The 12,808-nt window shown below is 38.5% G+C and overlaps 2 annotated features.

The window, feature by feature from the left end:
* Positions 5,570-5,739: an enhancer, noted in NCBI's record as "experimental_35506 CRE fragment used in MPRA reporter constructs". NCBI's record gives its function as "activates a minimal promoter by MPRAs in K562 erythroleukemia cells, with activity observed for both the introgressed and non-introgressed 14:66893591 variant alleles {active_cell/tissue: K562}" and the evidence as "EXISTENCE:reporter gene assay evidence [ECO:0000049][PMID:34662402]".
* Positions 6,379-6,548: an enhancer, noted in NCBI's record as "experimental_35504 CRE fragment used in MPRA reporter constructs". NCBI's record gives its function as "activates a minimal promoter by MPRAs in K562 erythroleukemia cells, with activity observed for both the introgressed and non-introgressed 14:66892782 variant alleles {active_cell/tissue: K562}" and the evidence as "EXISTENCE:reporter gene assay evidence [ECO:0000049][PMID:34662402]".

Raw genomic sequence — 12,808 nt, 5'->3', positions numbered from 1 at the left:
TTTCTCTAGGGTTATTAATTAACCTGATTTCGATATTGTTGTGTCTCAGGGAATAGGGAGGCCCAAGGAGAGGGACAGAGACAAGGGAATGACCAGTCAGTGGAGCAGTCAGAACACACAGAACATTTACTGATTAAGTTTTCTATCTTATTTTGGCACAACTTGTGGTGCCTCAAAACAGTTATAATAGTAATATCAAAGATCAGTGATCACAGATCACCATAACAGATATAATAATAATGAAAAAATTTGAAGTATTGCAAGAATTACCAATATGTACATAGAGACACAAAATGAGCATGTGTTATTGGAAATAGGAACTTACTTGACACAAGGTTGCCACAGACCTTCAATTTGTGAAAAATACTGTATCTGTGAAGCACAAATAAAGTGCAATAACGTTAAGTAGTTAAAGTAGGGCTTTAATATGGACTTGCTTTTCATTTATGGTACAGCCTTAAGGTTATGCTTTAAGAAAAGTGTTCTGCAGAAATCTAAATATAAACCCAGATAAGTTAGGAACTTGTTATTCACATTATAAAATCATACTTACTTTACAAACAAGTTTTCTTAACTGGCAGCATTTCTTTAAATTACAATTTCCTTGGCACATTTTGTTTATTGGTCATTAGTCACTCAATGGAGAGTCTGGGGAATAACTGCCAAATGCCAATCAATCAGAAATGAGGATTAAAAAATTATCAAATAATAAATCACTTGGAAAGTGCAACTAAATATATTTCATTTTCCATAAATACATGTATCCTACAACTGGATTGATTTGGGCTGGAAAGATATTCTTCCTTGGTAGTTAGGAGATGTATTTTAGAAGTTCTGCATTAGAAAGAACCTTGTCAAATGTCATTAAAAGAATCACTGAACTGAACTGAAAACTGGAGACAAGATCGTTATTTTTGAAATGGGGAGACCAGGTAAATAGGTTATGGTAAATTCCATGGATAAGAGATGCTGCTGAAACCCCACTCAAAATGTTGTAACAGTTATTTTTATTCTATCAGGATCGTCACACTTGAAGATTTCTTGTACCCTATCTCCTTTAATTACTTCTATTTCAGATATCATACATAGAATACCCAAGTACTACTGAAGGGGCACACTAATTAGAATCATAGAAGGATTTAGCATCACAGAACAATAGTAAGGGATTAGTAAAGATGTGATAGAGTCCATAACAAGCATATTTTGCATAAACAAAAATTAGCTTTCTTGAAGAGGATTCCACAGAATGAGAAAGTAACATGAAAGATAAAAATGATGTGAAGAGAAATGGAAAAATAAACTTCTGCTTTAATAAGCCTCTTATGATTAGATAACAAGATATTTATGTGATTACACAGGACCCAACCATTAAGACATTAAATTGATTCAGGATGGCAGTTCTTACTAAATACTCCTTTTAAAGTAATTTTCAGCTTCACTTTTTCAGCTTCATCAGTCTCTTATTTTGTATTGTGTCATTGCTTTTCAAATCTAAGCATATGGTTTTTATCATTATATTTATCTGAAGCACACCTTTTTCCTTTTTTACAGACTTCACATTTTTATTGCTCTACCCCTATAACATACTTGAGCGATTTTCTTTCATAATAACAGCAGTAACAATAACAATAGTATCTGCCATTTGTGTGTTTCATTTTTCCTAGAGGGTTTGCCAAGTGCTCTGTATGATTTATTCTCATTTAATCTCCCAACATCCTAATGAGAAAACTGAGGATTAGGATTATGTGATATGTGCAAGGTCAAACAGAGCTAAATGGTAGAGCCAAAATTTTAATACCAGGGTCTACTTGACCAGAATCTTTGCTCTTAACCATTGCATAGCACCTGCCACCACTGCAGGTTTTTAAGGCTATAGCACCCTTGGCTACGGGGGAGTCATAGTCCTGAGACCATGGATCACCCATCTTTGCCAGGAAGGGCTGTCCAAGAGACTTCAGGGCTTTTTGTCTGATAACTGAGCAGTAGCTGTTAGTTCCTTTATGTTCTTATATGTGACTCTTTAATTCCTGATTATTCTCAGAAGATCTTTGGAAGAGTAGTTAGACAGCTATTATTTTAAATCACAAGATTAGGTCAAGAAGAACTAGTCAAAGATTAAATGACTTGCCAGGGTACCGAGCAAACTCCTCTGGGCTAGGCTCTGCAGGAGAGAGAAAAGCCAGATGGGGTAATTGCCCTCACCCTGGGGTTTCTGTCCTATGGGGTTCAGAGCTAGAGCCTCTGGTTCTCTCTGTCCTCCTGCAATGGTTTCTTTCTCTACTGCTAATTTTTGCCCCAGTAAAACTGTGCTATCTAGTTTATCTTAGGGTAATTTGGGAATACCCCTAGAAGGCCACTGTATAAACCTGCATGTAGTAAATTGAGGTCTATGTTTCTGTAATGGATGGAAAGAAAAGCAACAAAACAAATAACTAATTTTGTTAAATCTGATTTTAATTCTTCTTTTTAAAAAAAGCAAATGGCATGATATTTTGGCAGACTTTTTGACAGCACCCACATTTGATTTGATGAGATGTGTGCTCCTATTTGAGTTATGTCCAAAAGAGGGCAGACAGATGGAAGGGTTTTACAAAAGGAAAAAAAAAATCCTGGTTATTATGAGCCTAGAATTCCTAATATGCTTTTAATTTTTTCTCTTAAAAAGCAATAAATAGGTCTTAACAGATGGACTAACACTTGAGTTAAAAGCATCCTTTGAGAAACTACAAGCAATGAATGCTTTATACAGATGTAGAGAGTTCAAATGCATGCAAATCATAGCAAACCACACAGAGTGAGGCTAGAGAAGCATAAACTTTCTGAGAAAGGAGGTTTAGGAAAACGTACACTCAGACCTATAAAACAATCTTCTGTGACCTTCCAGCATAGATTTTCTTTTCTTTTTTGAGACAGGGTCTCACTCTGTCACCCAGGCTGGAGTGCAGTGGCATGATCTCAGCTTGCTGAAGCCTTGGCATCTTGGGCTCAAGTGATCCTCCCACCTCAGCTTCTTGAGTGAGTGGGATTACAGGCACATGCCACCACACCCAGCTGGTTTTTTGTTTTGTTTTGTTTTGTTTTTTGTAGAAACTAGATTTCACCCTGTTGCTCAGGCTGGTTTCGAACTCCTGGGCTCAAGTGATCTGCTCGCCTTGGCCTCCCAAAGTGTGGGATTACAGGCAGAGGCACTGTGTCCAGTCCAGCATAGATTTTCAAACTGTGAGTCATGACCCATTGATAGGTCATGAAATCAATTTAATCAGTTGTGATCAGAATTTGAAAAAAAAAAAGGTGTTGGTGGTGGTGCAGCCAGGAACAGGATCTATTCAGAGTGTACTACGTGTGGTAAAAATCAATGCTGTTTCATGATGGTTTGTTTCTATTACATACTGTTTCCTGGGTCATGATGCATTATTTACTATAGGTCATGGTTAAAATATATGTATTCTAGAAGATGCTGCTCTAGCAGATGATTAATGCACATATATTGCAACATGACTCCATTCATGAGCCCCTTTTTCCTGCTTCTCTCCACATCTAGTCCATTAGCTTTCTGCCCAAAATATGGGATATGCTGTATTCATTCACTTCCATCTACTTCTTTTCATTTCCACTGCTTTCAACCTTATCCAAGCCACTAGCATGCCTCATCTTAGGCTATGGAATAGTCTCCTAACTATTCTCGTGGCTATCATTTGGGCTACCTGCAATCCATTCTCTATGTGGCAGCCACAGGAATCTTTTAAAAACATAAATAACTCTTGTACCTAAACCGCTACGCTGGTTTTCCTTTGAATTTAGAATGAAGTCTAAACCTCTTAGCATGCTAAAACCTACATAGACTGTTCCCTGTCTATCTCTCCAGCTTTATATCCTGCTGTCCTTCCATAGACTCTGACTTGGCCTACCCTCGGGGTCTTGTATCTGCTCTTCTCTTTCCCTGGAAAATGCTCTGCTCAGATCTTAGCAAAGCTCTCTTCTTTCACCACACAAGACTCTCCTGAACCATGTAGATGAAAGTGCATTCTCGTACGCACCCTCCCCATGACGCTGAATACTCTCTCATATTCCCTGCACCAGCTGCCTCAGATTTACTTTCTTTGTAGAATGTCATCACTGTCTGAAAGTATCTTCTTTGTTTACTTGCTTATTGTCTGTTTCCTTCTGTAAATGCCAGAGCATTGGGACCTTGGCTGTGTTGTCCTAGGCTGTATCCCCAGCCTTTAGAACAGGGCCAGCGTGGCAATAGTATGCACTAAAAAATATTTGTGAATGAATGAATGAATTTGCTTTAGGATATTCCAAAGGCCCACATTATTTTTGTTCAAAGTTTTATTTTTAATTGACAAATAATATATATATTTATGGGGTACAATGTGATATTTTGATATACGTATACATTGTGGAATGATTATATCAAACTAATGAACATATCAATCACCTTACATTCTTAACATTTTTTTGCAGTGAGAACATTTAAAATCTACTCTTTTAGCAATTTAAAAACATACGTTATTATTATTACTAACCATGGTCATGATGCTAAGCAATAGATTTTGAAAACCTTCCCCACTGTCTAACTGAAACTTTGTACCCTTTGATCAATATCTCCCCATTCCCCACTCCATACCACCTGGTAACCACCATTCTACTCTCTACATCTATGGATTTGACTGTTTTGGATTCCACGTAGACGTGAGAGCAAGTAGTATTTCTGTGCCTATTTCACTTAACATGCCTCCAGATTCATCCATGTTGTGGCAAATTACAGAACTTCCTTCTTTTTTTAAAAGACGAATACTATTCCATTGTGTATATGTATCACATTTTCTTTATCTATTCATCTGTTGATAGACAATTAGATTGATTTCGTATTTTGCCAAAGGCCCACATTCTGAGCATGCCAAAGATCGACAAACTATGAATAGAGTGAAGCTGGAACTTTTTCCTTATCCTACCAGTTGGATGTGGCATTTTGAAGCCAAGGGTCCCAACTGTACTCTAGACTAGAGCTCCTCTGGGTGTGGCTTCCTTGATTACTGCCATATTTGGTTCTCTTTCCCCTCAAGACTTGTTGCCATGACCCTGACAGACTTGAAGTGCTGATAATATGGTGTCAGGAAACCAGAGTTCTGTGATCTCTCTGAATCTTGATTATTTTATCTGTAAAATAAACACAAGAATAATTTACCTACTAGAGATGTTTTGAGGACTAAATAAGAAAGTGGGTATGAACAGTAAATATCTGCTATTGTGATTACTAGTCTCTTCAGGTATTTTAAAAGAATCAGAAGTGAATGTGGAATGCTTTTTGTTAATTCCAAATGCTGGGAAATGCCTCTATCTTCCAAACTGCTCATCAGAAGTTGGGGCATCATCCTCAAGGACTCATTTCCTTTTATCCCCACATCCAATCACCTACCAGTTTATATCAATACTTCCTCTTCCTTATAAAGTGGGGGCACCCCCATTTAAACTCCTTTATAATTTGAGGTCTGGCATGGGGCCCAAGAATTTGATTAGACGAGCTGACATGCCTGGAGCACAGAGATATTTTTAAAATATTAGTTTCCTTCCTTTTCCTAAGGAAAATTCATCTGTCCCTTTCCTCAAGATATTTCTAGTATTTGGTGCCACACAAGTCTCTCCTGTGCTGTGTAGATCAGGGTGCTTTCTTGGGTTTGTCAACCCTCAGTTGTTACTACCCTCTTGCATAGATGCAGGATGAAAGGGTAAATCTTCCCACAGTCCCCCTCCCCTGCCTCACATTCCTCATGTGATTTATATAGTTGCTGAAATCTCACATGATTCCACTTAGGTATCTCAGCAGTTCTACATTACTCCTAACTTCTAACCGGTTGAAGTAATCACATGCTTTTACCAAACCAGTCATGCATGCCTACAGTCCTCCTTCATGCTCTTATCAGGTAAGGCACTTATATTTTGGCTGGCCTTGCGCTTTTTGCTAGTAATAAGCCACCTTGGTTTATTATGATGTTTAAAATAAACTTAATTTCCCCAATCTTTCTTCCCTTCTCATCTAATTGTTTATCAGCTGGACTATTGTAATGGCCACTAAGTGGTTTTCTTGCCTTTTGTCTCACACCCCTCCAATCTAACTTGTTGTTATTGTTATTATCTCATCCTCCCAGGACCATCCCCAAAATTTCACAGTGACAATTATACAGTCTGGGAAACAAAGTAAAGCCAGAGCGATAGAACTGGTGAGGCATGACTCCTACCTTTCTTATCCATCTCAAAGGAGCTACTCTAAGTGTACTAACTATAGACCAAATAAGAGGGTAGTGCCCCAATAGACCAATTCCAGGTCTGAGTGTGTATTAAATTGCTGGTTAACCTGGGCAGCTCATATCATGTCTCTGAGCCTTAGTGTGCACATCTGAAACAATAAAAATAGTAATGACTAAAGTTTCTTTTGAATTTACTATGTTCCAGGCACTGATTTAGTGCTTTACATAGACTACTCACCATTTCAAATGCCCTTTGATGTAAATAGTACTATTGTCTGCATTTTAGAGATGAGAAAAATGAGGCAAAGAAGAGGTTGAGGAACTAGTCCAAAGACACCCTATGGTAAGAACCATAGTCCCAGAGCTAGAAAGTGTTGGGACTATGGTTCAAACCCAGGCAGTGGCTCCAAAGTCTGCACTTGGATGCTGTAAAAAGGAGTTGAATTAGATGAGCTTCTGGGGTCTCTCTAAGTTCATGTGCCAGAGAAGGCTGCTGGTTTCCCCCAACAAACAAAGATTAGGAACAGTGCTATGTTAAGGTGTGACACTGCAGCCAGTACAGTTCATCCTCAGGCAGGGAACATTGTCTAAATATAGAACCTCCCTTAACGTTGGAAGGTCTGACTAAACTGGGTTAGTTGCTGGGTGAGGTGCTAGAGGCAGCGCAAGCAGAAAGGTGTGCCAGCTTCGCAGTAGTGCTGCATAACAATGTAGGGCAAGATTTCTCCCTGAGCTCTGCCCTGCTTGCATCACTGCTTTCATTGCACATCCTTTAGCGGGATTATATAATGCCGGTTAAGGTAGATTACTTTATGAATCAATTTGCCTCTCAGGGAAATCAGGGCATTTGCCAAACTCTTTTTCACCAAAATGACAATTCCATGGCTTTAGGTTGATTCTCTTTTTACTTGTTTGTCAGTTGCAAGGGAAACTCTGGTTTATGTCTGTTCCATGTGCAGCTGGACTGTCTTTGGACATGCATACTTTCCAACAATGTTAACTTCTTCTTCTGGCTTGTTCTTTGGGATATGTTTTTAGACCTTTGAGATACTGTTGTGAGTTGAATTGTATTCCCCCAAAAGAGATGTTTAAGTCTTAAACCCCTGTACTTGTGAAAGTGACCTTAATTTGGAAATAGGGTCTTTGCATATGTAATCAAGCTATGATGAGGTCATACTGGAGTAGAGTGGGCCCTAATACGATAGCTGGTTTCCTGAAAGAGAGGTAATTTACACACAAACACGCAGACACAGGGAGAACACCATGTGATGATGGAGGTGGATATTAGAGTGGTTCATGTATAAGCAAAGGAATGCCAAGGACTGTGGGCAAACACCAGAAGCTAGAAGTAAGCGAAGAACCATTCTTCCCTAGAACTTTCAGAGGGAGCATGGTCCTGCTGACACCTTGATATCAGACCGTGAGAGAATAAATTTCTGTTTTTATGCCACCCAGTTTGTGGTACTTAGTTACGGCAGCCCTGTGAAACAAATGCAAATACTTCTCTGGATCTTTTGCCAAAGATGTTAAAAGGGTTCCATAAGCATAATTTCATTAATTCATAAAATATAAATTGAACTATTTAAAGAATGTGTGCCATGGAAATAGGGCTAGGATGTTGGCCCAAAGACCTGAGATGCAGCTCTGGCTCTGCTACTTACTAACTGTATGACTGGGGGACAAATCATTCATCCTTTCTGAGTTGTTGTTTTTTAAAAAAATAAAAAATGAGACTATTGCAAAAATACTGCCTTGTTTGCCATATAAGGTTGTTATGAGAATCAGTAATAATTTACATTTGTGTAGCACTTGAATGTTTACAAATCACATTCAGGTAAAAACACTATGTTATTTGTTCTTCTCAATAACCCCACAAGGTGGATAGTTTTCTTGATCTAATGTTGCTGATCAATGCAAAATTTAGAGAAGCTGTTTGTTTGCCAGAGACAACACAGCTGGTAAATATTAGAGACGGGACTCCTCTCTTTTCTACTCTACATACTCCACTGTATAGTGCTTAGGAAAACACTTGGCCCGTTGTATATGTTTAATATGTATTTGTTGAATGAACAGAGGGATGAATGAACCTTGGTTTTCTGATACTTAAGCATGTGAATCTTTTATAACCCTTCAGCTGAAAGATTAATGTATTCAGTATACAGTTCCAATTATTTATGTACACAAAAATATTTGTTGAATGCTTGCCAGGGGCTAGGCATGGGTCTAGGTATAGACTTATAGCAGTGACAAAACAGACCAAATCCCTGTTCAGGCAAAGCTTACATTCTAGTCGGGGAAATAGATAGTAAAAAAACAAACTTCTATCTTGACATGAAATTGCCAAGGAGAAAATTCAGCAGAATAGTAGGGATGGGAATTACGGAGTGGGAGAAGGGGAAGAAGGATGTTATAGGGTAGTCAGGAAAGGCCTCTGTGATAAGGTGACTTTTGAGTAGAGCTGTGAAGGAAGTGATGGGTATCTAGGGAAAGATTATTTCAGGCTAAGGAAATAGCAAATAAAAAGTGTGAAAGTTTTCTTGAGACCTTCAAAAAACAGCAAGGAAGCCAGTGTGGAAGAGGGGTGGATTGGTGGTCAGAAAGTTATAGGAGGCCCTATCACATGGCCCTTGTATGGACCTTGTAGACCAACGACAGGAGTTTTTGGTTTTTACTACAAGATAGGAAGCCATTGGAGGATTTTGCACAGAGGAATGACCTGATATGTTTTAAAAGGATCATTATGGTTGCAGTGTGGAGAATAGATGGGAGAGGGAAAAGGATGGAAGTTGGCAAAGGTTGTTATAATAATGTAGGCAAGAGATGGAGTTAGTGAGGATGGTCAGATTCCGAATACATTTTGAGGGTAGAACTAACAGGATTTTATGACTAATTTGGATGTGGGGTGTGAGAGAAAACGAAATGTCAAAATGGCTCCAAGAGTTTTGATATGTGCAACTATTAATACAACAGATGTAAGAGTTATTAAGGTGGGAGAAGCAGGTTTGGGATAAGGGTGGGGAAACCAGTTTAGTTTTGGACATTTCAGTTTGAGATTTATCATAGACTTCCAAGTAGAGATGTTGTGTAAACAAATGGAAATATGAGTCTGGAGTTCAAGGAAAAGGCCCAGGATAGAGATAAAATCTTGGGAGTCATTAGCATATACAAAGTATTTAAGTCCATTAGATTGGATGAGATCAGCAGACGGTGAGTATAGATTTTTAAAATAGGTTCAGGGTTTGAGCCCTGGAGCATTCCTCCTTTTGGGGATCAGGAAAATGAAAAGTAATGGGCAGAAGAGACTGAGGAGGAGCAGCTAATGAGGAAGAAGGAAAACCAAAAGGGAGTGGTGATGTAGAAGCTGAGGAAAGATGCCATTTGAAGAATGTTTCAAAACTTATTACACAGAAGAGAGAGGGATGATTGCTAAAGCAATGCTCGCAGTTCACATACTGCTGACTGACTGAGTTAGGTGAAGTCTAAGTTGTTTCTGTTTAGTATGGCAATTTGGAGGTAATTAATAAGTAACCTTGACACAAACAGTTCAGGTGTGGGTGGGAAAAGATCCTGATGGCAGTAGGTTCAAGAGAAAACAGCAAAAGAGAAAGTGGAGTCAAAGTACACACCCTTTGGAGGAGTTTTGTTATTAAAGGGGCAGAAAAATAGTGCAGTAGCTGGAGGGTAATTTGATGTTAAGGGAGAAGGAGGTTGGTTTGTTTGCTCATTAAAAGGGGAAATGCTAAAGCATGCTAATGGTAATTGTATTATAGAAAGAAGAAACATGATTACATAAGGAAACAGAGTGCGAACTGCTGTGGTAATACCCTTGAGCCAGTGAGGGAGAAGACATCCAGTGAACAAAGGGAGGAGTCAGCCTTAGAAAGGCACACTTTTCTATTGTGATCCATTGTTACAGAAAGGAAGGCAGAAAATGTGGGTGCAGACACTGGTGGGTTGTTTGTTATACAAGTGAGAGCTCATGGAATTTTTCTCTGATTGGTTCAGTTTTTCCAGCAATATAGGAAGCAAGGTCATCAGCTAAGAGTGCGGAGGGAAAGAGGTGTGACATTCGGGAGAACGGGAGAGTGAATAGACTAAGGGAATGCAGTAGTAGGGTTTCCAGGCAGCATTGCATAAACATGTGAGAGATTACTATGATGAGTAGAGAACAAAGATGGGAATTTCATATATTCGTTGACAGCTCACACATGGAAGCCATGCTATAGGCTTTGAGATACAAAGAAGAATTCTCACCTCCAGGAATGTGAAATCAAGTGTCAGTGATAACTAATAAACACAGGAAAGATTCAAATAATGATTTAAGACAATAGAAGAAAATATATGTGACAAGGAAGCATTAAAACTGCTGAATGTGTTTACGGAGTTCAGAGGAAAAAGACAGGTGATCTAAAAGTGATATGAATCTGGTAGAAAAGATAAATTCAGAGAGGGACAAGTGAGAATAAAGTAAATAATAGGAACAAAGACCAAAGCCTGGAGGGAAAGAGGCAGAAATACATCATCACCAAGTAGGGTTATCAGATAAAATACGGGACACCCAGTTAAATTTGAATTTCAGATAAACAACAAATAATTTTTTAGTATAAAATACGTATTTATACAGAATCAAATTTGGGTGGCCTGCAGTTTTATTTGCTAAATCTGGCAGCCCTAGAATCAAGGTTAAGGGAAACAAAAAAATGTTATTGAACCAAGAGAAGGAAGAATTTCAAGAATACAAAAGGTGTTCGATGGTGGCAGAATACTTCAATAAACCCACGGAAATAAAGTTTTGTCATTAGAACACCACTGGTGGCATTTGACACGGCATTGAAGGCAGAGGGCCAAGCAACAGATATGGAATACTCAGTAGAAAGGCTTGGCAATAAGAAAGGAGAAAAATATATAGTCTAAGGCCAAATGTAGAGGTGAATCCCAGGACCTGGGCTCACAGCCACTGGGATGCTGTATGCATTTAGATAATGTGTGAACAGCAAAGATCCTATCTTTAAGATGCTCTGTAAAGGCCAGAGACTGGCTAAACAGTGAAATCACAACTTAGCTGGCTTGGTATTCTAGGGCTCAGGTATCCTCCATTGGGGAGCAAGACAACGGAAGGAGACACATTTTGCAAATGAAATACGAAAGAAAAAAAAGGATGGAAATCCTATTGTTGTCAAAATGTTTATTTCAATTCAATATTAGACCAAATTCAGATACTCTCAGATTGAAATAAGAATGTGAACTTTAGATTATAAATCATTTAATAGAACAGACTTTCTGCCCACAGAGGCCTGCCCTATGCTGGATTTTATTTCTTTACAACTGGATAGAGGAAAGCATCAAATAAATTCCATGAGAAACAAGCACTATTGTGAAAAGGCAATGGCAGAATTTTTCCTGCCTGGCCACTAGTGTTAGGGCACTTGGTCATAGAGGATGGGCATGTCTGAGGGCTGTACACTATCAGTCGGTGGAAGTGTTAGAATGACAGTGACAGTAATGTTTTATCCTTAGGGGCCTCAAGGTGCTGTAGTATCATTATAGAATATTTATTGCTGAATTTTCTGCCCCCAGGAAGAAAAGGTAGCAGCTTTTGGAGGAGATTTTTTTAAAATGAGGGTTAACAGAGTAACCTTTGACAATAACTGCTAATGAATTAGGGTCAGGGACATCTCAGTGCTCACAGACCTTAAAAATACTGTCATCTATCTTTCTCTCTGAATTGAGTGTTCATCTTGCCAGTTCCTATAGTTAATTAGATTGTTAACTCTGTCTATTTATAGCAGCAAACACTTCACTGGCATGTAGCAAATGCTGATTATTAATCAGGAGCCTCTACTGACTCAGGGTGGAATGAAATGTAATTATTCAAATTAGATTTAGGCCAAGGTCCAATGACCTCACAGGCAACATCTTGATTTTGCAAGTACTAGTTTCCATAAACCATGTCTCTGGAAGATGTAGAGATTACCATCTTTAGGAACCTAGGGGTGAATAGTGATGCCGAGTTTAGGCATCCCCTAGCATTCTTAAAAAAATTATGCTCTCTTCTATAAATGTACCTATGCACCTGCCAGCTCATGACGCAAAATCAGCCTTACTGAGTAAATCATTATACAAAGTAGTTATGGATGTAGAATTTTAATAGCAAATCAATTAAAGTTAATTTTCATGGATGCTATTAGGGAGGATATTCACCAAGCCTGTCTCTTTTCATATATCACAGTACTTTATACTTTGAGAGAAAAGTTGTCTGTTTTTTCATCTTTTGCCTTTTGTATTTTTTACTCATTTATACTTTAAGAAATTTTAGATTCGGGGGCACTTGTGCAGGTTTGTTATGATGGTATATTTTGTGATGCTGAGGTTTGGGCTTTCATTGATCTCATCACCCATATAGTGAACATAGTACCAACAGGAAGTATTTCAGCCCTTGCCACTTTCCCTTCCTCCCTTGTTTTGGAGTCCCCAGGGTCTATTATTCCCAAATTTATGTCCATTTGTACCCAATGTTTATCTCCCACTTATAAGAGAACATGTAATATTTGCTTTTC

Source organism: Homo sapiens, chromosome 14, assembly GCF_000001405.40.
Source record: "Homo sapiens chromosome 14, GRCh38.p14 Primary Assembly".
NCBI lineage: Eukaryota > Metazoa > Chordata > Mammalia > Primates > Hominidae > Homo > Homo sapiens.
Note: the sequence above shows the minus strand (reverse complement) of the source record. Positions and strands in the feature narration are given on the sequence as shown.